General features: G+C 52.8%; 1 protein-coding gene and 1 long non-coding RNA gene across 5 annotated transcripts, besides 6 other annotated features; both read right to left on the minus strand.

The window, feature by feature from the left end:
- Positions 35 to 194: an enhancer, noted in NCBI's record as "active region_13893". NCBI's record gives its function as "activates an Ori minimal core promoter by ATAC-STARR-seq in GM12878 lymphoblastoid cells {active_cell/tissue: GM12878}" and the evidence as "EXISTENCE:reporter gene assay evidence [ECO:0000049][PMID:35858748]".
- FCER2 (Fc epsilon receptor II) lies at positions 980 to 14,335 on the minus strand. Of its 4 annotated transcripts, none has more exons than XM_005272462.5 (11): positions 14,223 to 14,335; positions 11,943 to 12,045; positions 10,945 to 11,058; positions 10,560 to 10,613; positions 9,731 to 9,793; positions 9,440 to 9,502; positions 9,217 to 9,279; positions 9,029 to 9,118; positions 2,610 to 2,761; positions 2,363 to 2,469; positions 980 to 1,634 (listed from the first exon to the last, which is right to left on the minus strand). In XM_005272462.5, exons 2-11 carry the CDS (start codon positions 11,962 to 11,964, stop codon positions 1,397 to 1,399), a joined length of 966 nt encoding a protein of 321 aa, XP_005272519.1. In that variant the 5' UTR covers positions 11,965 to 12,045; positions 14,223 to 14,335; the 3' UTR covers positions 980 to 1,396. The 4 variants fall into 4 exon arrangements, with proteins under 4 accessions (XP_005272519.1, NP_001993.2, NP_001207429.1 ...); NM_002002.5 differs by having other exon boundaries at positions 11,943 to 12,049; NM_001220500.2 differs by having other exon boundaries at positions 11,943 to 12,049; positions 14,219 to 14,335.
- Positions 3,122 to 3,181: an enhancer, noted in NCBI's record as "active region_13894". NCBI's record gives its function as "activates an Ori minimal core promoter by ATAC-STARR-seq in GM12878 lymphoblastoid cells {active_cell/tissue: GM12878}" and the evidence as "EXISTENCE:reporter gene assay evidence [ECO:0000049][PMID:35858748]".
- Positions 3,572 to 3,621: an enhancer, noted in NCBI's record as "active region_13895". NCBI's record gives its function as "activates an Ori minimal core promoter by ATAC-STARR-seq in GM12878 lymphoblastoid cells {active_cell/tissue: GM12878}" and the evidence as "EXISTENCE:reporter gene assay evidence [ECO:0000049][PMID:35858748]".
- Positions 12,049 to 12,118: an enhancer, noted in NCBI's record as "active region_13896". NCBI's record gives its function as "activates an Ori minimal core promoter by ATAC-STARR-seq in GM12878 lymphoblastoid cells {active_cell/tissue: GM12878}" and the evidence as "EXISTENCE:reporter gene assay evidence [ECO:0000049][PMID:35858748]".
- Positions 14,222 to 14,331: an enhancer, noted in NCBI's record as "active region_13897". NCBI's record gives its function as "activates an Ori minimal core promoter by ATAC-STARR-seq in GM12878 lymphoblastoid cells {active_cell/tissue: GM12878}" and the evidence as "EXISTENCE:reporter gene assay evidence [ECO:0000049][PMID:35858748]".
- On the minus strand, positions 15,284 to 19,438 carry LOC105372262 (uncharacterized). Its single transcript, XR_936296.2, has 5 exons — positions 19,182 to 19,438; positions 18,449 to 18,698; positions 18,021 to 18,140; positions 16,996 to 17,106; positions 15,284 to 15,325 (listed from the first exon to the last, which is right to left on the minus strand). It is a non-coding gene; the product is annotated as an uncharacterized LOC105372262 (long non-coding RNA).
- Positions 17,700 to 17,769: an enhancer, noted in NCBI's record as "active region_13898". NCBI's record gives its function as "activates an Ori minimal core promoter by ATAC-STARR-seq in GM12878 lymphoblastoid cells {active_cell/tissue: GM12878}" and the evidence as "EXISTENCE:reporter gene assay evidence [ECO:0000049][PMID:35858748]".
- Positions 19,439 to 27,008: the final 7,570 nt, after the last annotated feature.

Genomic DNA, 27,008 nt, shown 5'->3' on the forward strand with positions numbered 1-27,008 from the left:
CGATCCTGGCTCACTGCAACCTCTGCCTCCCAGGTTCAAGTGATTCTCCTGCCTCAGCCTCCCGAGTAGCTGGGATTATAGGCACATGCCACCGTGCCTGGCTAATTTTTGTATTTTTTTTTTAGTAGAGACGGGGTTTCACTATGTTGGCCAGGCTGGTCTCGAACTCCTGGTCTCAAGTGATCGGCTCAATTCAGCCTCCCAAAGTGCTGGGATTACAGGCATGAGCCACCACATCTGCTTGCTCCCAATTTTCTTTCTTTCTTTTTAAATTTATTTAGTTGGGGTCTCGCTCTGTCACAGTGGCGTGATCTCAGATCATTGCAACCTCCACCTCCCAGGTTCAAGCACTTCTCCTGCCTCAGCCTCCTGAGTAGCTAGGATTACGGGTGTGCACCACCACGCCCAGCGAATTTTTGTGTTTTTGTTTTTTTTTTTTTTTTGAGATGGAGTCTCGCTCTGTCGCCCAGGCTGGAGTGCAGTGGCGCAATCTCGGCTCACTGCAAGCTCCACCTCCCGGGTTCACGCCATTCTCCTGCCTCAGCCTCCCCAGCAGCTGGGACTACAGGCACACGCCGCCACGCCCGGCTAATTTTTTGTATTTTTAGTAGAGACGGAGTTTCACCGTGTTAGCCAGGATGGTCTCGATCTCCTGACCTTGTGATCCGCCTGCCTTGGCCTCCCAAAGTGCTGGGATTACAGGCGTGAGCCACCGTGCCCGGCTGAATTTTTGTATTTTTAATAGAGACGGGGTTTTGCCATGTTGGCCAGGCTGGTCTTGAACTCCTGACCTCAGATGATTCGCCTGCCTTGACTTCCCAAAGTGCTGGAATTACAGGCATGGGCCACCACACCCGGCCAAAGATCTGATGTCCCAACTTTCAAAGGTGGTCTCAGGCATCAGACTCTGGAATTCCCAGCTCCCATGTGCCACACCCAGAGACCAGACCCAGCCAGGCCTCCAAGAAGGGGACAAATGTGGGAGGCCATCACTGCCCCATTTTATTGATGCAGGCTGGACAGGAGGACTCACCACCTGAGCTGGGGATACTCAGGTCCTGGGGTGCTGAGGAGATGGGGCTGCATCTGGAGAGGGTGCTGTTGGGGTGTACTCTCATCTGGAGAGGGTGCTGTTGGGGTGTACTCTCATCTGGAGAGGGTGCTGTTGGGGTGTACTCTCATCTGGAGAGGGTGCTGTTGGGGGCACTCCCATCTGGAGAGGGTGCTGTTGGGGTGTACTCCTGGGAAGGCAGGGGCCATAGAGGAGCGGGAGATGTGTCAGCTGCCTCCGTTTGGGTGGCAGAAAATGTCACAGGGACCTTTCAGCCACAAAGAGGCTTTTAGGCCGTGGTTGGGGGTCTTCAGGGTCTTGCTCTGGGCCTGGCTGTATCCATGCTCAAGAGTGGAGAGGGGCAGAGGGGGTGGGCAGGCGGCCGTCAGGGTCTGGTCTTGAATCAGGTCCCATGGACTCCGCGGAACCTTCGCTGGCTGGCGGCGTGCATGTGGCCAGCCGGTCGCACACCCAGGCGCCCAGCTTACGGTCGCAGAAGGCGTCGTTCCAGCGACCGGAGCCCCGCATCATCACGCAGTCCTCGCCCTGGCTCCGGCTGGTGGGCTCCCCTGGAGCCCAGTTGCTGGAGCAAAAGGCTTTGGGTCAGGGGATGGGGCGGGGAGAAGGAGCCCAGTTCCCGGCAGCCCTCTGAGTCTGCACCCTCCCTTCTCACCCCAGGTTCCCCATCCTGAGTCTGTGCCTGGGGACCGGTACCTCATTTTGGTGCCCCATACCCTGCAGCCCAAGACTCACCCTTATTTATTTGTTTGTTTGTTTATTTATTTATTTTGTTGAGACAGAATCACTCTGTCGCCCAGGCTGGAGTGCAGTGCGCGATCTCAGCTCACTGCAACCTCCGCCTCCTGGGTTCAAGTGATTCTCCCACCTCAGCCTCTCAAATAGCTGGGATTACAGGCGCCCGCCATCATGACTGGCTAATTTCTGTATTTTTAGTAGAGAGGGGTTTCGCCATGTTGACCAGGATGGTCTTAAACTCCTGGCAGGTGATCCACCCACCTCGGCCTCCTACAGCGCTGGGATGACAGGCACGAGCCACCCTGCCCGGCCAAGACTCACCCTTCTAATCTGTGCATGGAACTTCCTCCCTGAGCCCCTTCCTCTATATCCCCTCCTCCAGGTCAGAGAAGCCTTGGCCAGGTCCCCCAGCCCCCACTGGCGTCCTTCTCCCCTGCACCCTAGAGACCCTTATCTCTGAGCCCTCATCCGCTTTCCGATGCAGTTTATCTAGGGAGCTCCTCCCTCCACGGTATTTCCATCTCCTCCCCTGGATCCCAGAGGCCCCCTCCTCACCTGTAGTCCACGTGGCTCCCATCCACCCAGATAAACTCCCCCTTCAGGTCCAAGTTCCGAAGGCCAATCCAGGAGCCGGTGTGGCTGGCATGCTTGGTCAGGAAGTCCTGGGGGACAGGACAGGGCTGGAGGACTGGAGACATGTGCCCGGGGCCTTCCAGCCCACTTCGAGAGGTTGGGTAGAGTGGGGTGGGGGTCCCCCCACCCTCGCCATGCTGCCCACCACCTCTGCAGAGCCCCAGCCCACCTGCTCCTCCGGGCTGTGGATGCTGACCAGCTGCCCTTCCATGTCGTCACAGGCATACCGGGCGTGGACCCACTGCTTGGTGCCCTTGCCGAAGTAGTAGCACTTCCGTTGGAAATTGATCCACTTTTCAGGGCACGTGTTGCACACAAAGCCTGGGGTGGAGGAGAGGCTCGGGGGTGGGGCCAATGGAAGTGCCTTGGGCACCCTGGGCAGACTAGGTGGCAGCACCCCTCCTAGGGCCACTCCTGGGGTCCCGGCTAAAAGCAGACCCACCCCAGGGCCTAACAGACAGCCTCACGGGCTGTGTTCTCTGCTGGAGCTATGATGCTGACCAGATCCATAGTAGAAGCACCTCAGCCACCATGGCCACAAACACCTTCATGGTTAGCAGAGCACGGTGTCGACCATCAACACCTCAACTACCATCAGCATCTCCACAAACACCTCATGGCCAGAAGCACCACAAGCACCAACACTGCCACCACACATTCATGTCCAATATGGTCAACACCATGACCACAAACACACTCATGTCCAACAACACTTCAACCACCATCACCACAGACACCTCACGGCTAGAGGTCCCTCAACCACCAGCACCATGACCACAAATGCATTCACGTCCAACAACGCTTCAACCACCATTATCACCACAGACACCTCACAGCTAGAGGCCCCTCAACCATCAACACCATGACCACAAACACACTCATGTCCAATAATATTTCAACCATCGTCATAACCACAGACACCCCACAGGTAGAAGCCCCTCAACCGTCAACACCATGACCAGAAATGCATTCATGTCCAACAACACTTCAACCACCAGCATCATCGCTACAAGCACCACCATGGCCAGAAGCACTTCAGTTGTCATTATAATCACCTTAAATCCACCACGGCTTGGGAACTCTTCAGTCACCAAAGCCATGACCACATCACCGGCTCCACAGCCAGCAGCACCTCAGCCACAAATCCCATCATCACAAATGCTTCACAGCGAGCAGAGCATCAATCACCAACACCATCGCCATCGACAGCTCATAGAAGTGCCTCAATAGCCACCAACATCACCATAAATCCATCCATGGCTAGCAACACTTCAATCACCAACATTATCACCCACATCACCAGTTCCACAGCCAGCAGCACCTCAGCCACAAGCACCATCACCAACAGCACTTTCACCACCCTCATCACCTCAAACACCTCATGCCAGCAGCACTTCAACCACCAACACCAGCACCACAAATACCTCATGGCCAAAAATGCCACCAACACCATCATCACAAATGCCTTACAGGCAGCTGAATATCAGTCACCAACATCATCTCCACAAACAACTCCTCAACCACCATTACATCATCATAAATACACCCATGGCCAGCAACACCTCAGTCACCAACACCATGACTACATTGCCAGTTCCACAGCCAGCAACACTGCAACTGCAAACACTGTCACCACAAACACCTCCCAACTAGAAGCACCTCAACCACCAGCACTATCACCACAAATACATTCATGTCCAACAACACATCAACTACCAACACCATTGTCACACATTCACATTCACGTCCATCAACACATCAACCACCAACACCATCAGCACGAATACATTCACGTCCAACAACACATCAACTACCAACACCATCACCACGAGCACATTCATGTCCAACAACACATCAACTACCAACACCATTGTCATGAACACATTCACGTCCATCAACACATCAACCACCAACACCATCAGCACGAATACATTCACGTCCAACAACACATCAACTACCAACACCATCACCACGAGCACATTCATGTCCAACAACAAATCAACTACCAACACCACTGTCATGAACACATTCACGTCCATCAACACATCAACCACCAACACCATCAGCACGAATACATTCACGTCCAACAACACATCAACTACCAACACCATCACCACGAGCACATTCATGCCCAACAACACATCAACCACCAACACCTTTGCCACAAACACATTCATGTCTAACAACACATCAATTACCAACACCAGCGCCACGAACACATTCACGTCCATCAACACATCAACCACCAACACCATCAGCACGAGCACATTCACATCCAATAACACATCAACTACCAACACCAGCACCATGAACACATTCATGCCCAACAACACGTAAACCCCTAACACTGTCACCACAAACACCTTACAGCCAGCAGAACGCCAGTCACTAACACCATCGCCATCAGCACTTCGTGGTTAGCAACACCTCAGCTGACGCCAATGTCACCACAAACACCTCATGGCCAGAAGCAGCTCAACCACCAACACCGTTATTATAAATACATTCTTGACCATCAATGCTTCAACTGCTGACACCATTACCATAAATACATCCATGGCCAGCAATACTTCAATCACCAACACCATGACCAGCAGCACGTCAGCGGCCATCACTGTCACCACAAACACCTTCATATCCAATAACACTTCAACCACCATCATCACCACAAACACCTCATAGCCAACAGTGCCTCAGCCACCAACCCCATCATGACAAACACCTCATGGCCAGCAGCACTTCAACCACCAACAAACCCCTCCAAGGTCAGCAACACCTTCATCACCGACATCATTAACAGAGGTACCCACCACCAGCAGCAGCTTATCTCCACCACCCACACCACAGCCAACACCATCTTTACCAACCACACCAGCCGTGTCTTCATCACTGGCACCGACAGCAAAACCAGTGCTGTGGCCAGGTCCACCAGCGATTACTTTCCCCAAGCACCATCCCTACCAACAGCCCTGGTCATCATCACTGGCAGAACCCGCCAAACCAGCACTCCTAGCCAATGTCTGGGAAATTGTGATGATTTTCTTCCAGTGGGAGGCTTTGGTCAGGAGAGCCAATGGGATTGCAAGACTAGGTCCCACAATCCCTCAATATGGTCTCTTTCTCCCCTTCCCCCCACCGCAGTGAAACTCCCAGACATTGTTGCTATCGCCTCCCAGGTGGAAGGTTAAACCCACTCTTACTGGATCAAATCTTTCTTGCTTCAAAATAGATTTTCAGCAGTGGTGTGCACCTGTAATCCCAGCTACTTGGGAGGCTGAGGCAGGAGGATCGCTTGAGCCCAGGAGTTTGAGACCAGCCTGGGCAACATAGCAAAAACCCGCTTTAAGTAAGTAGGTTTTCCTATAGTGATATGCAGGGAAGGTTCCACTACACGTGGTCAGATGTTTTTTGTTTTGTTTTGTTTTGTTTTGAGACAGAGTCTTGCTCTGTCTCCCAGGCCAGAGTACAGTGGCGCTATCTCGGCTCACTGCAACCTGCACCTCCCGGGTTCAAGCAATTCTCCTGCCTTAGCCTCCCAAGTAGCTGGGATTACAGGCGTGCACCACCATGCCCAGCTAATTTTTATATTTTTAGTAGAGACGGGGTTTCACCATGTTGGTCAGGCTGGTCTCGATCTCCTGACCTCATGTGATCCACCTGCCTCGGCCTCCCAAAGTGCTGGGATTACAGGCATGAGCCACCATGCCCAGCCACAGATTTTTTTTTTTTTTTTTTTAAAGAGGCAGGGTCTCATCATCTTGCCCAGGCCAGTCTCGAACTCCTGGGCTCAAGTGATCCTCCTGCCTCGGCCTCCCAAAATGCTGGGATTACAGGCGTGAGCCACCACGCCCACCCTCACATGGTCAGATTTTTCTAAGGAGCTTAGGGTCTGCAGTAGCTTGAGATGAGTGTGCTTCTCACCCATGAAATGGTAACCAGTACTCAGCCCTCTGGAGGTGCAGCGTTAAAACAGGAAGAGGTGGCCAGGTGCAGTGGCTCATACTTGTAATCCTAGCGATTTGGGAGGCCAAGATGAGAGGATCACTTGACCCCAGGAGTTTGAGGCCGTAGTGAGCCATGATTGTGCCACTGCACTCCAGCCTTGGTGACAGAACCAGGCCCTGTCTCTGAACAACAAAAACAACAACGACAAAAACCCAAACCCCAAAACCAGGAAGAGGACATTTCTGAGCCCTCAAAGAAAACTTCAGGGGAAGGTGTCTTGGTTGTTTGTTACATAGTCACCCAGAGACAACCTCAGAGCCAGGCTCAGATCCCAGGCTGTGGGGCTGGATTTCGGGGAGACTTCAGGGACTGGGGAAGAATTAGGAGGTGACCTGTCAGAAGTTGTCATGGTCCAGAGTGCTCTTCCCCTGTGCCTCTCCCTGAGGGACCACACTGAGGTTTCTGGCTGGGATTCCCAAAGCCACTTCACATCCCAGGGGATGGGACTCCATCACACCAAGCACAGAAACTTCCTCTTCTCTGCCCCAGTTAGGGCAGCTGGGGCTTCCCAGAGGTCAAAGACCAAAAATCAAGGGTGGGGGCATTAGCTGGCGGAACGGCAGGGCTGTAAAACCCCAGTTCCTACCGTACAGTAATTTTTTTTTTCTTCAGAGGCAAGGTCCCACTCTGTTGCCCAGGCTGGAGTGCAGTGGCTCAATCCTAGCTCACCGCAGCCTCAAACTCCTGGGCTCAGGTGATCCTCCCACCTCAGCCTCCGGAGTAGATGAGACTACAGGTACACATCACCACATCTGGCTAATTTTTTCATGTTTTTGTTGAGGCAGGATCTTGCTGTGTTGCCTAGGCTGGTCTCAAACTCCTGGACTCAAGTGATCCTCCTGCCTCGGCCTCCCAAAGTGCTGGGACTATAGGCGTGAGCCAGTGCACCTGGTCCCTACCCCACATTAAGGGTACAGTGACTGAATGTCTGCTCTCTCTGCAGCCTGCTAGCCTCCTGAGGTCAACACTGCCTCCATTACTGCCACCCCTGGGAAAGAGGCCACCATCTCCATTGTCCCATCACTGCAGACATTACCCCCGTCTGGCTCCCTGCCCTGGTCAGACAATCTACCAGGAAGGCTATGTGTATGAGAATCCTACTAATAACTCCTCACTGGGCCACATCAGGCAGAGGACACCAGCAAGGAGAACCCAGCGAGGGTCAACACTGGACTGCTTTAACGCAGAAGAGGAAAAAAATTGTAGGAGTCTCCAAATCTGTGAAAGGACACAGTTGGAATCAGAAAGAAATTGCCAGGCAAGATGGCTCATGCCTGTAATCTCAGCATTTTGGGAGGCCGAGGCGAGAGGATTGCTGGAGCCCAGGAGTTCAGGACCAGCCTGGGCAACATAGCGAGATCCTGTCGCTACAAAAAATAAAAAAATTAGCTAGGGCCAGGTGCAATGACTTATGCCTGTAATCCCAGCACTTTGGGAGACTGAGGCGGAATGATCGCTGGAGTCCAGGAGTTCAAGACCAACCTGGGTAACAAAGTGAGACACTGTGGCTACAGGAAAATAAAAAATTAGCCTGGCGTGGTGGCACACACTCGTAGTCTCAGCTACTCTGGAAGCTGAGGTGGGAGGATCTCTTGAGCCCAGGAGTTGGAGGCTGCAGTAAGCTATGATTGCACCACTGCATTTCAGCCTGGGCAAAAGAGTAAGACTCCATCTCTCTCTTTTTTTTTTTTTTTTTTTTTTTTGAGACAGAGTCTCGCTCTGTTGCCCTGGAATGCAGTGGTGCGAAGACAGCATGATCTCGGCTCACTGCAACCTCTGCCTCCCGGGTTCAAGTGATTCTTGTGCCTCAGCCTCCCAAGTAGCTAGGATTACGTATGCCCGCCACCACACCCGGTTAATTTTTTAAAATTTTTATTGAGATGGAGTCTCGCTCTGTCGCCAGGCTGGAGTGCAGTGGCGTGATCTTGGCTCACTGCAACCTCCACCTCCCGGGTTCAAGCAATTGTCCTGTCTCAGCCTCCCGAGTAGCTGGGACTACAGGCACGCACCACTACACCCAGCTAATTTTTGTAGTTTTAGTAGAGATGGGGGTTTCATCATGTTGGTCAGACTGGTCTCGAACTCCTGACCTCACATAATCTATCCGCCTCGACCTCCCTAAGTGCTGGGATTACAAGCGTGAGCCACCGCGTCCAGCTAATTTTTGTATTTTTAGTGGAGACGGGGTTTCACCATGTTGGTCAGGCTGGTCTCGAACTCCTGACCTCAGGTGATCCACCCGCCTCGGCCTCTCAAAGTGCTGGGATTACAGGTGTGAGCCACCGCGCCTGGCCAAGACCCCTTCTCTTAAAAAATAAAATAAGCGGTGTTTTATGTATGCTCTGTGTGTCCTGCCCCATCAGAAACTTAGTCCTATTTCCGTCATCACGCACACCTCTGCCTCGCATCCAAGCACACTCCCCACCCTGCGCTTATATCTTTGTGTCCTCCCGATGACACTCGGGTCACACAAACGTATAGACATGCTGCCTCACGTCACACGTGCGTGCCGTCACATTTGCCAACACGCCCGAGCCCCAGGTGAGGTCACGCGTCGTCCTGAGCAGAGACTCACACACTCACCGCTGGACACCTGCAACTCCATCCTTAGCTTTGTCACCTCCTCCCGGAGTCTTTCCAGCAAATCTGAAGCTTCGTTCCTCTCGTTCAATTCTTGGGGAGTCAACAAGGGGCGGTGCTCAGAGACCAACTGGCAGGCCCCCTCCTTGTCCGTTCCCTCCCCCACTGCCCCATCCCCTCCCAAGCCTCACCCTGGGACTTGAAGCTGCTCAGATCTGCTTGAAGCCCGTTCAGGTTCCAGGACAGCTCCAAGTCTGGTGTGTGCAGGAGCGCAGGGCTGGTCTCAGGGAGGATGTGTACAGGCCGAGGGTGCCCCCCAAGCCTGGCCCCCCAGCCTCGTGGTTCCCCAGGGCTCTGAGACACTCCCTCCTTCCCACCCAATCTGGCTTCATAACCCCGATCCCAGTCTCTCACCCTGAGATTTCAATCTCTGCTGTTCAGCTCGAAGTTCCTCCAGTTCCTGTGAAATCTGCGTGGCTGTTTGCAGGGGAGGGGGCTTCATGGTAAGCAGGTCCTCATTGTCTCCCCCATCTACCCCCACCCATCCCTTGGTCTCTTTGCCTGGGTTCTTGGAACCACCTGCTCAGTTTGCAGTTCCCGGGTGTCGGGGGTGGGGCACAGTGAGTCTTAATGCTCTGGGTCCAGGAAGTCATCCAAGACCCCCTCGCTTTTTCCCCTGCAACCCCAACTCCAGGAGTCACTCACACTGGGATTTCTGCGCCATCTGGTCACCGTGGTGGCTTTCCAAGTTCTTGGAAACTTGAGAGACTGGAGCGGCGGGAGAGAAGAGATATCCCAGGAACCTCAAAGGCAGGTCCTTGGACCCCGCCTATGCCCCAGGCTCAGGGACCCTCTCACATAGTCACAACAGCTGCTGTTGCTGTTTGTTCATTTACTGGAGCAGGAGGAGTGTACTCAGGAAGGTATATGCAAGAATATAATGAACTACTGTGTACCTCTCCCTCACCCAGGGTTAACTATAAAAGCAGTAGGCGACTATCAGGGTACTTCACAAATCTTAGAGCTTGTTTCTGTCTCACGGCACTAAAAGTATGCCCATTTTACAGATGAGGAAATGGAGGCACAAAGCAGTTACAAAATCCTTACACTACAGATGCTTAAGGCTGCCAACTTACAATGGCTCAACTTACAATAGCTCGAGTTACAATGGCTCGACTTTACAATGGTCTGAAACCAATATGCGTTTAGTGGAAACCTTAACTCTCTTGCAATGCTGGGCAGTGGTAGGGAGCCAAAGCCTTCAGCCAGCCACACAGTTTTGACTTAAACTATTTTCAACGTACTTTGCGCTTATGGGGACATAACCCCATTGCAAGCGGAAGAGCATCTGTATTAGGATGCTATCAGGCACTTTTCCAAGCTTCCCTGGGTCCCCGCCTTCCCTAGGACAGGGAGCAACTTAGTTTGACCTTCAGTTCCTTAGCGAGGGGACACTGAGGCCCAGAGAGGAGCGGGATGAGTGCTGGGCATCCTAACCCTCACCCCCACCCCCTCCACCTTGACCCCTTCATACCGTTCCGGGCAGCCCTCTCTTCCAGCTGTTTTAGACTCTGTGTGGTGTCCCAGTCTGGGGAGGGGGAGAGAAGAGGAGTGGAGAGGGGGGATTGTCAGTGCCCCCACCTGCCTGCACCCCACCTCCCAGCTGGGGATGGAGGTCTTGGGTATAAGCCATGGAGGTGCTGAAAGTGTGGAGGACAGGGATGCTGGGTGTGGGGTGAGGGGCTCTGGAGGGTGGGGGATGGGAAAGGGCTGGCAGTGGCAAGATGGGAGGCAGGATGGGAAAATTGGGTTTTGAGAGGATGCGTTGGGCTCCCCCAGCTCTGAGATGGGGGTGAAGGAGGGAACACAGAAGGGCCCCATGAGTTGGGGGGACCACATGGAGCTGGGGGTGTCCTCACGCCACAGGAGAAGCAGAGTCAGCAGCCCAGCCCACAGAGCGGCGGTCACCAGCCCCAGCAGCACGATCTGAGTCCCACGCCTGCAACACCGCCTCCTGGGAAGCTCCTCGATCTCTGCCGGGGGTGGAGGGACTGACTATGGGTGCAGGGTGAAGCTGGATGCTGGCCCTGTCCGTCTCTCCATTACCCAGAGCCCCCGACAGCCTGGGAGCTTGTCCAGAGCCCACACTGAAGCAAAGGGTCTCAGTGGACCCCCAGCTCCATTTGCACAGCTTCCTTACCTGACTCAGGGCTGGGTCACTGACCACAGAGACAGATCTGGGACTAAGAGCTAAGACTCCCTCAGCCCCAACAACCAATGCCAGGCCCCCAGCTTCACTTCCAGAAGACTAGGTCCTGCTTTTTCCTTCCCCTCTGAGCCCCAACGCCCACCCTTACACCTCTGCACCTGTCCCCAACCTGGAGTCCCTTCCCTAAACCCAGGACACTGAGTCCCAGTTCTTCCCCAACATCGGAGCCACTCCCCAGCCACTTTCCCAGGTGTCATCCAACATCCAGACCTCCAAACCTCTCCCAGACCCCACCCAAAGGTCTATCTGGATGTCCCACCTCAAGCCCCTGGCCCTCTGCACTCACCCTGGCTTGGAGGATTCATTATGCTAAATTCTGCTTGTTCCAAGTTCCTGTTCTATTTGGCCTCTGACTCTATTGGGCTCCCCGCTCCCTAGCTGAAGCCGTTTTTTTTTTTTTTTCTTTTTCTTTTTTTGTCAGGAGGGTGTTGAATCAGAAAAAGGAGGGGCCCTCAATTTGCCACTCCTTCCTGGCTCTGTGCCAGGAAAGTCAGTCCGGCCTCACCTCCTTACTCACACCAGTCCCTTTCTTAGAAATTCACCCTCTTTCCCAGAGAGGGACTGGGGAGCCCCGCTTCTCTTCTGGGTGAAAGGCAGTAGCTAAGGGTCATTGCTTCTGCCAACGTTAGAACCAGAGAGTCCTCCTACCTGAATATTGACCTTCCTCCATGGCGGTCCTGCTTGGATTCTCCCGATGATGGAGCACTCACTCCCTGACAACGCAGTCCACTCAGCGGGCACAATCACAGCTCTGGCTGATTTGGGATTTAATGATGGTTAGGGTGAGCCATCAAATCCTAGTTACCAGCACAGGATAGCATCTGGGACTTGGTGGCACTCAGGGGCCATTTGCTGATTTTGTTTAGTCTACAATCTGGACTCACTAGCGTGGTTAGCAGGGAGACACAGCTGGTGTGGAGAGATAGCAGCCTGAGATCAGAAGTGGGGCACTCCAGAGCCCATCACACTTGAGCTACACAGCAGGTGCACCCATGAGATCTTGACAAATGGCTTAATTAACCTGGAAACTTCTTTCCTCATTCGTAAAATGATGATACCAAGAACACCTATACTGTTGGTTGGTGATCTGTGCTAAAAATATCACCAGCGTTTATTATAATTGCCTTGCCTGTGTGACCTCAGCCAAGGATTCAACCATTCTCAGCCTCAGTTTTCCCCTCTGTAAAATGGGCTGATGACAGCACCCAACTCATGAGGCCAAGATAGGATCCAATGAGATCACAGCATACCTGAGGTTTTTGGTGCCGGGCTGCGCACAGTGGGTCTTCGGATTCTAAACATTTATGAAACATCTACTCTGTGCCACGTCCCACTGAGAAATGCTAAGAGCCCATAACCCAGGCCTCAGCCTTCTCCTCTGCCAATGTCCCCAGGGCATCTGTAAAGTGCTCTGACTTTATTTATTTATTTATTTATTTATTGAAATGGAGTCTCGCTCTGTTGCCCAGGCTGGAGTGCAGGGGCACGATCTCGGCTCACTGCCACCTCCACCTCCTGGGTTCAAGCGATTCTCCCGCCTCAGCCTCCCGAGTAGCTGGGACTATAGGCACGTGCCACCATGACCAGATAATTTTTGTATTTTTAGTAGAGACGGGTTTTCACTATGTTGGCCAGGCTAGTCTCAAACTCCTGACCTCATGATCCGCCCGCCTCGGCCTCCCAAAGTGCTGGGATTACAGGCGTGAGCCACTGTGCATGGCCTATTTTTTTATTTTTTGAGATGGAGTCTCGCTCTGTCACCCAGGCTAGAGTGCAATGGCACCATCTTGGCTCACTGCAACCTCCACCTCCCGGGTTCAAGCGATTCTCCTGTCTTAGCCTCCCAAGTAGCTGGGACTACAGGCACCCACCACCACACCTGGCTAATTTTTGTATTTTAGTAGAGACAGGGTTTCACCATATTGATCAGGCTGGTCTCGAACTCCTGACCACAGGTGATCTGCCCTCCTCAGCCTCCCAAAGTGCTAGGATTACAGGCGTGAGCCACTGCGCCCGACCAAGTCCTCTGACTTTAAAGCATCTACTATGTGCTGAGGAGCATGGGACTTGGGGTCCTTCAGGCCTGGAGGTCACGGGCTACCTTCTTTCGCTGCTTGACTATAGGTAAGTCCCTTCTCTCGGAGCCTCAGGGAGGTGGGGTGTGGCGCGGCCAGGCTCTGATTAGCGGCAGCTCAAGCTGGCCCTTTTGACATTGTGAGAGGAACCCAGAGACCATCCTGGGACTGGAACTGTCCAGGGAGGCAGCTGGACAGACCTGAGTCCGAGTCCTGGCTTCTTCCTGGATGAGCAGCTCAGTTTGCTCATCTGTAAATTGGGAGTATTCAAAGCACCAGCACACAGTAGGTGCTCAGTAAACCTACTGGCAGGATGCTGGGGGACTGTCCTCATTCTGTGGGGCCTCTCTCAGTGGAACTGAGGTTCCAAGAGGGTAAGTCATTTGTCCCCATCACGCAGTGGTGGGACTGGAACTCAAACCCGGGACCCTTGAGCTGGGAGCCCATTTGCTCAATCATCTGGAGACATAATCTCATGGTGGGGTGTCTACTGGTAAGTGCTGGGTGGCAGGATCCCAACTCCAGGCCGTCCTTCTAACCCAAGAGGTCCTGCCTCTGCCTAGAGTCTTCCATGGCTCCCCAGGGCCCTCTATGATCGGCCCAGCGCACTCACCAAGCTCATCTCAGACCAGATGGCCTGCTTTCACTTCCCCAAATCAGGGACTCGAATGCCTCGAGATTCTGTCCACACTGCGGCCCCCACCCCCGCCCCCTCACCACCCACCACCTCCCTTCTCTGGTTGTGACCTCCTGCTGGTCATCCCTTGAGGCTCAGCCCAAGGTCGTTTCTTCCAAGGGCGCTTTGATCTCCACTTCCCATGGCCAACCCCCAACACACCAGATACGTACTCACTTAGTGGAGTTTGGAGCCTGTGTCTGTCCTCCTAGTGTGTTGGGGTCGACCAGAGCGATTGGCAGGGACCGTCAGAGACAGAGGTTTAAGCAGGAAGAGAGACACTTTCTTCTGAAAGTAGAGCCACTGACAGCTTCTATTTTCATAGACCTAAATATGGGCTTGCCACCCGGATAACATTACACGCATGGCCTCTCCTGGTGCTCCCCACACCCGGGTGAAGTCCGTGTTATTATTATCTCCATTTCTCAGGTAAGAGAATTGGGTGAGAACTAGAGATGTTAAGCAGCAAGTTCCCACAGGGCTGAAGGAGGTGAGTGGTAGCGTCAAGATGTGAACCACTGTTACTGCACACTGAATCATACCACTATGGCCGATCACAGAGGGCCCTGGGGAGCCACGGAAGGCTCTAGGCAGAGGCAGGGCCTCTTGGGTTAGAAGGACGGCCTGGAGTTGGGATCCTGCCACCCGGCACTTACCAGCAGACACCCCACCATGAGATTATGTCTCTTGATGATTGAGCAAATAGGCTCCCAGGTCAAATGTCCCAGGTTTGAGTCCCAGCAAGAAAAAAGGGAAGAGGAGAGAGAGGCAGAGGAAGGGGAAAAAAAAGACAGAAGGAAGGAGAGGGAGAAGGAGGAGTAGGAGGGAAGGAGGGAAGCGGGGGGAAAGAAAGATACGTGAGATAATATTCAGGTCAAATATGGACAGTTTTGGCTGGGCACGGTGGCTCACGCCTGTAATCCCAGCACTTTGGGAGGCTGAGGTGGGAGGATCACTTAAGCCTGGGAGTTCAAGACCAGCCTGGACAACATAGCAAGCCGTTGTCTCTACAAAAACTATAAAAACTAGCAGGGCATGGTGGTGCATGCCTGTGATCCCAGCTACTGGGGAGGCAGAGGTGAGTGGATCACTTGAGCCCAGGAGTTCAAGATCAGCCTGGGCAACACAGTGAGATGAAAGAAAGAAAGAGAGAGAGAAAGAGAGAGAGAGAGACCGGGCACAGTGGCTCACGCCTGTAATCCCAGCACTTTGGGAGGCCGAGGCAGGTGGATCATCTGAGGTCAGGAGTTCAAGGCCAACATGGTGAAACCCTGTATCTACTGAAAATACAAAAAAAAAAAAAAAAAAAAAAAAATTAGCTGGGCATGGTGGTGGGCACCTGTAATCCTAGCTACTCGGGAGGCTGAGGCAGGAGAATCGCTTGAATCCGGGAGGCAGAGGTTGCGGTGAGCCGAGATCGCGCCATTGCATTCCAGCCTGGGCAACAAAAGCTAAACTCTGTCTCACAAAAAAAAAAAAGAAAAGAAAAAAGAAAGAAAAACAGAAAAGAAACACCAAACTCCATCCCAGCCCCATCCTGGAACTAAGACTTCATCCCCATGTCCTCACAACATGGCCCAGCTGGACTTATTCCCAAGCTTCCTCCTCCTTCTCCTCGTGTGTCCCCATTGGTGGGACAGTCCGTCCATCCACCCAGACACCCCGGCCCAGGTCCAGGCCTTGTCCAAGCACTTCCCGATCTTCCACCCCACCGCTCACCCAGCACCCGCGCCTGGCTCGTCTCAAAAAAATAACCTGCTTCTCCCCATCCCCACAGCTGCTCCCTCTTCCCCCTGGACCAGGTGACATCCCCCTCTTAGGGTTCCCCCTGCCTGGTTTGCCTTGTCCCTGGGACTGCCTCCTCCATGGCCTCCCCACTCTCATCCTGCCCCCATGACAGCCTTCCCTGGGGCTCTACCTCCTGTCTTGCCCCCCAAAACAGACCCTCCAGGGTCCTCACTCCCACCTGGCCACCACGGCAGACCCCCCCTTAGGATCCCCAACCCGACCTGCCCTCAAGACTAATCCCCCAGTGACCCCACCCTGGCTTGGCCTCAAATGCTGTCCCTATGTCCACTCAGCAGCCCCCAGCCACCTCTCCAATGCTCAGCGGCCAACTCTTTCCCTTCCTTTTTGATTTTTTTTCTTTTTTTGAGACAGAGTCTTGCTGTGTCATCCAGGCTGGAGTACAGTGGCATGATCTCAGCTCCCCATAACCTCTGCCTCCCCGGATTCAAGTGATTCTCCTGCCTCAGCCTCCCAAGTACCTGGGATTACAGGCACGCGCCACTACACCTGGCTAATTTTTTGTATTTGTAGTAGAGATGGGGTTTCACCAAGTTGACCAGGCTGGTCTTGAACTCCTGGTCTCAAGTGATCCACCCACGTCGGCTTCCCGAAGTGTTGGGATTACAGGCATGAGCCACCGCACCCGGACCCTCCCTCACTTCTTTACCATCTTGGTCCTCGGCCATTACCCCAGATCAAGGTGGAGGGGACATTTTGGGACCCAAAATGAACAGCCTCAGACCACCAGAGTCAGTCATTCACTCAACAGGCATGCACCAAGGGTCACTCGGTCCAGGGTGACAGACAAGGCAGCATGGTCCCAGCTGTTCTGGAGTGCAGGGTCCAGGGGACATTTCAGCCAGGCCCCTCCCTGACACAGTGGGAACGTCCAGCCCTAGTGGATGGCCCAGCCCAGCCCCCTCCTGGTTGGGAGGTGGGTTGTAGGGGCACAGGGGGGTGTCTTCTGGAGTGAGAGACATGGGAGGTAGCCCACCCAGGAGTGGGGATTTGGAGTTCCCCAGTTGAGAGTGGGGAGGGTGTTAAGGATCAGGGGACACATTTTGGGAAGGATGAGGAGGGTGGGCAAAGTGCCAAGGGGTCTTAGTATATAGAAGTCTAGGTGGCATAGTGGCTAGGGCTGCAGATGCCTGACCCACACTACCTGTGTTCAAATTCCTGGTTCTTCCATTGAAGTGCTGTGTGACCTTTGGCAAGTCACCTAACCTCTCTGTGCTTCACATAAGGCAGCATTGATCACCAAAGCATCTAATTCCTAGGGTGGTGGTGAAAATTAGATGTGTTAATATGCACACAAGTCACTAAGAACTGTGTCCGGCTGGGCGTGGTGGCTCATACCTGTCATCCCAACACTTTGGGAGGCTGAGGCGAGTAGATCACCTGAGGTCAGGAGTTTGAGACCAGCCTGGCCAACACAGTGAAACCCCGTCTCTACCGAAAAGTGCAAAAATTAGCCAGAAGTGGTTCCAGGTGCCTGTAATCCCAGCTACTCGGGAGGCTGAGGCAGGAGAATTGCTTGAACCTGGGAGGCGGAAGTTGCAGTGAGCTGAGATTGCGCCATTGCACTCCAGCCTGGGCGATCCCAAAAAACAAACAAACAAACAAATTCCTGTGCCCAGCAACCATTGCTACTAAATTAAACTATACAACAAAATTGTCCATATTTTTTTTTAGAGACAGGGTCTCGCTCTGTCTCCCAGGCTGGAGTGCAGTGGTGCGATCTCGGCTCACTGCAGCCTCAACCTCCTGAGGTTCAAGAGATCCTCCTACTTTCTCCTCCTGAGTAGCTGGGACCACAGGCACGCACCACCACGCCTGGTTAATTTTTTAAATTTTTGGTAGCGATGGGGTCTCACTATGTTGCCCAGGCTGGTCTCAAACTCCTGGGCTCAAGTGATCCTCCTGCCTCAGCCTCCCAAAGTGCTGGGATTACAGGCATGAGTCACTGTGCCCAGCTGGAATTTGGTGTTTCTGAGTTCTACAAGCCCAGGTGCCCCAGCCCAACCCCACCGGCCCCATCATGTCCTTCCCAGGGGTGAAAGCCCCCTGCCTGCTGGGTTCCTGCCAAGACTCAGCTCAAACACTAGGATGCTTTGGGGCCCCAAGGACCCAGTCACGGGACTGCCCCACCCGCTTCCCCTCTGCGGTATTAATACGCCTCTTGCTCACTTCGGGGGAAAAACAGAAAATTGTGCGGATGTGGGCCCCAGATCTGTGGGTGTCGGTTCTTCTTTCAGATTTGGGATCCTCTGCATGTTGGGGGAGGCCGCGTCTCGCTCCTCGTTTGACCTAGGTCAGAATTCAACAGGAAGGAGTTTAGGGTGTCCAGCAACAACAACCCTCAACCATCTCCAGCTGAGCTCTCATCCCAGCCCCGGCCCTGACCGTAACCCCAGCTCAACTACAACTTGATCCCCTCACCCCACGATGCTCTGATCCCAGCCCTAACCTCTGCTCTGCACAGGACGGAGGCACGTCCGCGGCTCTAATCACAGAACCCCCACACCTGGGACAGGGCCTGGCGCTGTGTCCCAACGAGATGGAGCCTGGCGACCCTGACTCTAACCCCATCCCGACACAGCCCTGGGCTTTCCTACCTGTTTAACCTCTCCTGGGGTTACGAAGGGGAGAAGGAAAGGGTGCAGGGGTGGGGAGGAAGGGCAGTAGGTGTGTCAAATCCAGGGGGGCTTCCAGGAGGAGGTGTGTTCAAAGCTGGGTCTCTCCCACCCTGCACTGTTGACTTTGGGACTGATGATTCCTCGCTGGGATGCTGTCCTGTGCATTGTTGGATGTTTAGAAGCATCTCTGGCCACTAGTCGCCGAAAGAGTCACCGTGGTTGAGAAGCGCTGCTTTGAAAACATGATTCCTAGATCACGCTTTATTTTGTTTTCATTGTGGCAAAATATACATAACATAAAATTTACCATCGTAGCCATTTCTAAGTGCACCATTCAGGAGCATGAAACACATTCACACTGTTGTGCAACCATTACCACCATCCGTCTCCGGAACTTTCTCATCTTCCCAAACTGAAACCGTGTCCCCATGAAACACTCACTCCCTATTTACCCAACTCCAGCCCCCATGAGAGCTCCCCTTAGGGTCCTCACCCCCACCAGACCTTCATGACAGCCTCCTTTAGGGTCTCCCTGAAACCCCTCCTCTGTGTCTTCCCTGAACGGCAACCACCTGCCCATATCTTCTCTCTGCCTACAACCATCCATGGCTCCCTTCTGCCCTGGGCCCAAAGCTCCAGCTTCCCATGTCCTGGAGTTCAAGGGTCCTGCCTGCTCAGGCCTGGCAGCTGGTCTCTCCAGCCACGCCCATACCTCTTCCTCCAAGACTCCACAGAGTGCCTTAACTTCACACAGTTCTGAAACACCAGGCTGTCTCCAAGCCTTCGCACGGGCAGCTGCTGCCTAAAGTGCTGAGCCAACCCACAGCACCAATTTGTATGGAAGCCTCCCTGCCACCCATAGTCCTAAGGCCCCCTCTTTTCCCAGCCTTGAGCTCCTGCACTGGATGGGCCCCTCCTGGGACTGGGGGCTCCCCAGGGGCAGGACCTATGCCCCACTCCTAGAAGGGCCAGGAGGGCGGCCCTGAATCACAGTCACATGCACCCCTTTCCCTCCGCTTCCGGACCCCCACTCAGGCAGAGAGCCAGTCAACAGGAAGAGGAAAGGGGTGTGTGGGATGAGAAGAGCCTGGATGTGCACTTTTGTCTTCCGGGAACCTCGGGATCTGGAGCCCAAACCTAGGCTGTTTTTTTGGTGTGGATTGTGGCAGTGGGGTGGGGAGAGCTTGGGGGCACTGGTATGTGTGGCTGGGAGTCCTCAGGCTAAGAGGGGACGCAGAGATGGGGTTGTCCACACCCTTCCCTCCAGAGGGCCCCCCAGAACTCCAGGAGGGGGGTCCTGGACCACTCATTGCCTCCCTGCCCCCTCCCCTCAAGGCCCCAGGATACTTCTAGGGACCAGAGAGCTGAGCCAGCAGGTCCTGAGGCTTCTGAGAGCAGCCCAGGCCCAGCCTGGGAGATTTGGGGATTTCTTTCCAAGAACGCCCTCAGAGACTCTGAAATCCTGGACTCCGGGCTCCACCCTCACAGACCCGGGGCTTCAACTTCCTGGAGACCCAGGAAGCCAGGCCCCCAGACCCCACCCTCAGGGACTCAGGCTCAGTTCCCTAAGGATCAGGAAGACAGGCCCCCAAACCCCATCTTCAGGAACTCAAATTCCCAGCCCTTCAGGGACCCAGGAGGTTGGGACTCCAGCCTCTCAATCCCTGAGAGACCAAAGCCTCCAGCCCCATAGGGACCCAGGAAGCCAGGCCCCAAGACCCCATCCTCAGGGACCCAGGCTTAGCCTCTTTTTTTTTTTTTTGAGATGGAGTCTCACTCTGTCGCCCAGGCTGGAGTGCAGTGGCGCGATCTCCGCTCACTGCAACCTCCACCTCCCAGGTTCAGGCGACTCTCCTGCCTTAGCCTCCCGAGTAGCTGGGATTACAGTCACCCACGACCACACCGAGCTAATTTTTGTATTTTTAGTAGAGATGGGGTTTCACCAAGTTGGCCAGGCTGGTCTTGAACTCCTGACCTCAGGTGATCCGCCCACCTCGACCTCCCAAAGTGCTGGGATTACAGGCGTGAGTGAGGCTTAATATCTTAAAGACCCAGGAATCCAGGCCTCCAGACCTCATCCTCAGGGACCCAGGCCCCCAGACCCCCTAGGGACTTTGGTGTGGGATCGTGTGTTTTTCTCCTCCGTCCCTGCTGATCTCATGCCGGTTTCTGGGTCTGCCAGGACAGTGGCGGGTGCTGCTGCTTTGCTGGACACACCTGGTCACTGCCACCACTGTGTAACCCCTGATGTGGGTAACTAAAGGCCATGGGTTCCCAGCCCAGCTGCACCCCTTTACCTGCTGTGTGACTTAATCCTCTCTGGGCCCCAGTTTCCTCATCTGTAAAATGGGGATAACCTCGTCTGTAAAATCTCTCACATAGGTTGCTGTGTGCGTAAAGCCTTCAGCCCAATGCCAGATATAGGGAGGCTCTAAAAATGGGAGCATTTTTAGTGCAATTTCCTGAAAAATATCTCTCACATAATTAAGCAGCTCCCAATCCGGCAGCCAGCAAGGCCCTGTGTGGCTGACACCTTCTCCTCTGTATTGCCCCCTCTGTATGCCCCTCCAGTGACAATGGCCTGCCTTTCTGTTTTATTTTTGGAGAGATGGTCTCACTCTGTTGCCCAGGCTGGAGTGCAGTGCAGTGGTATGATCACGGCTCACTGCATCCTTGACCTCCTGGGCTCAGGCGATCCTCCCACCTCAGCCTCCTGAGTAGCTTGGACCACAGGCACATGCCACCTGCCTAGCTAATTTTAAAATTATTTTGTAGGCCGGGTGTGGTGGTTCACGCCTGTAATCCCAGCACTTTTGGAGGCCGAGGTGGGCGGGTCACGAGGTCAGGAGATCGAGACCATCCCAGCCAACATGGTGAAACCCCATCTCCACTAAAAATACAAAAATTAGCTGGGCATGGTGACATATGCCTGTAATCCCAGCTACTCGGGAGGCTGAGGCAGGAGAATCACTTGAACCCAGGAGGCAGAGGTTGCAGTGAGCCGAGATCGTGCCACTGCACTCCAGCCTGGCAACAGAGCAAGATCTCCACCTCAAAAAAAAAAAAAATTGTTTTCTTGTAGAGACGAGGGTCTCGCTATGTTGCCCAGGCTGGTCCCCAGCTACCGGCCTTAAGCAATCCTCCTGCCTCGGCTTCCCAAAGCGTTGGGATTACAGGCATGAGCCCACATGTCCTGCTCTTCCTTCATCTTCACAGCCAGAAGCACAGCCTCTTCCAATCTCTCTCTGACTCTCATCCTCCTGCCTCCTCTTGTAAGGACTCTGTGATGACATTGGGCCACCTGGATAATCCAGAGTGATCTCCCATCTCAAGACCCTTAACGTAATTCCATCTGCAGAGCCCCATTTGCCATGTAAGGTAAACTGTTCACAGGTTCCCGGGATTAGAATGTGGACATCTTTGGGGAGGTGTTACTCAGCTGACCACTATACCCTAGGAGACAGATGTTGTTATTATTATTATTATTTGTTTTTGAGAGGAGTCTCGCTCTATTGCCCAGGCTGGAGTGCAGTGGCCTGATCTCGGCTCACTGCAGCCTCCGTGTCCCAGGTTCAAGCGATTCTCATGCCTCAGCCTTCACAGTAGCTGGGACTACAGGCATGCACCACCATGCCCGGCTAATTTTTGGTAGAGACGGGGTTTCCCTATGTTGGCCAGGCTGGTCTCGAACTCCTGGCCTCAAATAATCCACCCGCCTCAGCCTCCCAAAGTACTGGGGTTACAGGAGTGAGCCACCGTGCCCGGCCCAAACTCTGGGCTTTTTGTTGGCATCTGCTACATTCATCCTTTTGAGCTGTGTCTGACTCTGGGGACACGGGAAAGGTAAGAATCCTCATGGGGTTTGGGGGACAGGCCTGACGAGGAGACTCTGTCTGCCCCCGCTTCTTTGGAGAGCACCCTGGGGACTTCCCCACACTCCCCAGCCTTCCTAGGAAGAAGCCCTCGGGATCTGAGGGGGTTTCCTGGGATCAGGGGGAGAGGGGTGGGAGGCTGATAAGAACAGACTACTCTGTCTGAAAGACATGACTTTGGAAAGTGGGATCACCATGGAGCTGCTCTATCCAGGAAACCCTAGCTGGGCTCCAAGGTCACCAGCAATTTGCTGACCGAGCCCCAGAGAGAGTTGCCCTGTGGTCACTCAGGGGGCTAGTGGTGGGGACACCCCGTAAAAAGAATCAGGGAGTGGCTGGAAGGTGCCCCTCTCTGCCTCCATGCCCTGCTTTCCAGCACAAACCCCCATTGGTCTCTTCAGGGCAGAGCCTACTTTCTCTCCCTGTACCCCACTCCCCAGGCCGGAAATGCCGTGGAGGGGGAATTGCTTTTCCAGAATTGTTCATGTCAGACCTCACCACGTGGGCACACCCTCTATCTGTCCTCACCACCTCTTCCTCTCTCTGCCAGACTGTGGGCCCCAGGAGGGCAGCAACCATGACCTGAACCCCAACATTTCACCATGACAATTTTCTTTTCCTTCCTTCCTTCCTTTCTATCTCTCTTTCCCTCCCTCCCTCCTTCCCTCCCTGCCTCCTTTCTTTCTTCCTTTCTTTCCTTTTTCTTTCTTTTCTTTTCTTTTTTCTTTCTTCCTTTCCTTTCCTTACCTTACCTTATGTTACCTTTCCTTTCTTTTCTTTTCTTTTCTTTCGTCAGTCTCGCTGTGTCGCCCAGGCTGGAGTGCAATGGCATGATCTCGGCTCACTGCAACCTCTGCTTCTCAGGTTTAAGTAATTCTCCTGCCTCAGCCTCCTGAGTAGCTGGGATTACAGGCATGCACCACCACGCCCAGCTAATTTTTGTATTTTTTCGTAGAGATGCAGTTTTGCCATGTTGGCCAGGCTGGTCTCGAACTCCTGACTTCAGGTGGTCCACCTGTCTTGGCCTCCCAAAGTGCTGGGATTACAGGCGTGAGCCACCGCACCCAGCCAAATTTTTCTTTTTTCTTTTTTTTCTAATTAAAATTTTTTTTTTTTGGCCAGGAATGGTGGCTCACACCTGTAATCTCAGTGCTTTGGGAGGCCAAGGCAGGAGGATGACTTGAGGCCGGGTGTTCAAGACCAGCCTAGGCAACATAGCAAGACACCCATCTCTACAAAAAACAAAAACAAAAACAAAATAGCTAAGCATGGTGGTGTGTGCCTGTAGTTCCAGCTACTCGGAAGGCTGAGGTAGGAGGATCACTTGAGCCCAGGAGGTCAAGGCTGCAGTGAGTTACAATGGCACCACTGCATTCCAGCCTCGATGACAGAGTGAAACTCTATCTCAGAAAAAGTTTTTTAAAAAATATTTTTATTTTTAGGACTAAGTTTCTGTCTGGTCGGACAGGACAGATGGGGTACACATAAGAAGGCCCTTTCGTATTTTTAGTAGAGACGGGGTTTCACCGTTTTAGCCGGGATGGTCTCGATCTCCTGACCTCGTGATCCGCCCGCCTCGGCCTCCCAAAGTGCCTTTTTTTTTTTTTTAAGATGGATTTTACTCTGTCACCCAGGCTGGAGTGCAATGGCACCATCATAGCCCACTGCAACCTCCCAACTCCTGGGCTCAAGGGATCCTCCCACCTCAGCCTCCTGAGTACCTTGGGACTATAGGCATGTGCCACCACATCCAGCTAATTAAAAAAACTTTTTTGTTTTTTTTTGAGATGGAGTCTCACTCTGTCACCAGGCTGGAGTGCAGTGGCACGATCTCGGCTCACTGCAACCTCTGCCTCCTGGGTTCAAGCAATTCTCCTGCCTCAGCCTCCCAAGTAGCTGGGACTACAGGCACACGCCACCAGACCTGGCTAATTTTTTGTATTTTTAGTAGAGACAGAGTTTCACCATGTTGGCCGGCATGGTCTCGATCTCCTGACCTTGTGATCTGCCCGCTTCGGCCTCCCAACGTGCTAGTATTACAGGTGTGCCCCGCACCTGGCCTTGTTGTTGTAGAGACAAATCTCGCTCTGTTGCCCAGGCTGGTCTCCAACTCTTAGCTTCAAGTGGTCCTCACACCTCAGGCCTCCCAAAATCGTGAGATTACAGGCGTGAGCAGCCACGGGCTAATTTTTGTATTTTTAATAGAGACCGGGTTTCACCGTGTTGGCCAGGCTGGTTTCAAACTCTTGACCTCAGGTGATCCACCCACCTTGGCCTCCCAAAGTGCTGGGATTACAGGCGTGAGCCACTGCACCTGGCTGTAACTTTTTTTTTTAGCCAAAATTATGTGAACATATTTGTTACCAGAGGCAGGTGGTGGTGGGCGGGGTGGGGCGGGGACTGGGGAGATGGTGGCCAAAGGATACAACATTTCAGTGACAGGAGGAACAAGTTCAAGAGATCTATTGTACATCATGGTGACTATAGTTAATAATCACATATTGTATACTCGAAAATTACTCAGAAAGTAGGTTTTTGTTTTTTTGAGACGGAGTCTCACTCTGTCACCGAGGCTGGCGTGAAGTGGTGCGATCTTGGCTCACTGCAACTTCCCCCTCCTGGGTTCAAGTGATTCTCCTGCCTCAGGCCTCCCAAGTAGCTGGGATTACAGGCACCAGCCACTACGCCCAGCTAATTTTTTTGTATTTTTAGTAGAGAAGGGGTTTCACCATGTTGGCCAGGCTGGTCTTGAACTCCTGACCTTGTGACTCGCCCTGGCTTAAGGCAATACATATGTTGTGAATAAGCTTGATTTGGCTAGGCACGGTGGCTCACACCTGTAATCCCAGCACTTTGGGAGGTTGAGGTGGGTGGATCACCTGTGGTTAGGCGTTTGAGACCAGCCTGGCCAACATGGAGAAACCCTGTCTCTACTAAAAATACAAAAATTAGCAGGGTGTGGTGGTATGCGTCTGTAATCCCAGCTACTCGGGAGGCTGAGACAGGACAACTGCCTGAATCCAAGAGGGAGAGGTTGCAGTGAGCCAAGATCACCTCGCTGCACTCCAGCCTGGGTGACAGAGCGAGATTCCATCTTAAAAAAAAAAAAAAGTGATAATAACAATTAGAAGGAATGACTAAGATCTACTATTTAATAGTACAGCAGAGTGACTACAGTCAATAATAATTTAATTGTACATTAAAAAATAACTAGGCCAGGCGCCGTGGCTCACGCCTGTAATTCCAACACTTTTGGAGGCCGAGGTGGGTGGGTCACTTGAGATAAGGAGTTTGAGACCAGCCTGGCCAATATGGTGAAACCCCATCTCTATCAAAAACACGAAAATTAGCCCAGTGTGGTGGTGGGCGCCTGTAATCCCAGCTTCTCAGGAAGCTGGGGAGGGAGAATCGCTTGAACCTGGGAGACAGAGGTTGCAGTGAGCTGAAATTGCACCACTGCACTCCAGCCTGGGCGACACAGCGAGACCCTGTTTCAAACACAGACACACACACACACACACACACCAAAAACAAAACAACAACAAGAAAAAATAAAACAACTAAAAGAGTGTATTAACCGAGCGTGGCTGTGCACACCTGTATTCCCAGCTACCTGGGGGGCTGAGGCAGGAGAATTGCTTGAACCTGCGAGGCGGAGGTTGCAGTGAGCCAAGATTGCACCACTGCACTCCAGCCTGGGTGACAGAGTGAGACTCTGTCTCAAAAAATAAAAATAAAACATAAAAGAATATAATTGGATTGTTTGTAACGCAAAGGATAAATGCTTGAGGGGATGGAGACTGCATTCTACATGATGTGATAATTACACGTTGCATGCCTGTGTCAAAACATCTCATGTACCCCATAAATGTAATCACCTGTATATACCCACAAACATGAAAAACACAAAATACAAAGACACATCACACTGGGAGCAAGCATTTGGAGACAAAATACTATGCACTGTATGATCTAATTTATATGAAACTTCACAAGACAAGTCAAATTCATAGTGATAGCAGATTGGTGATGACCTAGGTCTCTGTCAGGGCTGGTGCTGAGATTGAAGGGCAGGAGGGAATTCTAGGGCTGATGGAAATGTTCTATATCATCAATATCTTGATGGTTGCCCAGCTGTATACCTTTGTTAAAACTCACTGAATTGGCCAGGCGCGGTGGCTCATGCCTGTAATCCCAGCACTTTGGGAGGCTGAGGCGTTTGGATCTTGAGGTCAGGAGTTCGAGACCAGCCTGGCTAACAAAGTGAAACCTGTCTGTACTAAAAATACAAAAATTAGCCAGGCCTGGTGGCGGGTGCCTGTAGTCCCAGCTACTTGGGAGGCTGAGGCAGGAGAATAGCTTGAACCTGGGAGGCAGAGGTTGCAGTGAGCCGAGATTGCACCACTGCACTCCAGCCTGGGCAACAGAGGGAGTCTCCGTCTCAAAAACAAAAACAAAACCAAAAAAAAAAACCTCACTGAATTGTAAACTTGAAATGAGTACATTAAACAATTAAAAAAATTTTTAAATTGAAGTAAAATACCATAACAACAAATTGACCATTTTAACTATTTTAAGCATACAGCTCAGTAGTGTTAAGTATATTCACATTGTTGCACAACCAATCTCTGGAATTGTTTCATCTTATAAAACTGAAAAAAAAAACC

This window comes from Homo sapiens, chromosome 19 (assembly GCF_000001405.40).
Source record: "Homo sapiens chromosome 19, GRCh38.p14 Primary Assembly".
In the NCBI taxonomy this organism is placed as follows: domain Eukaryota; kingdom Metazoa; phylum Chordata; class Mammalia; order Primates; family Hominidae; genus Homo; species Homo sapiens.

Coding starts and splice junctions, on each gene's coding strand:
- FCER2 (XM_005272462.5), bottom strand. CDS start 11,964: ATGGAGGAAGGTCAATATTCAG. Junction 10,614..10,944: donor GACTCTGCTTCTCCTGTGGC/GTGAGGACACCC, acceptor CCCCCTCCCCAG/ACTGGGACACCACACAGAGT. Junction 9,280..9,439: donor GCAGAGATTGAAATCTCAGG/GTGAGAGACTGG, acceptor TGCACACACCAG/ACTTGGAGCTGTCCTGGAAC.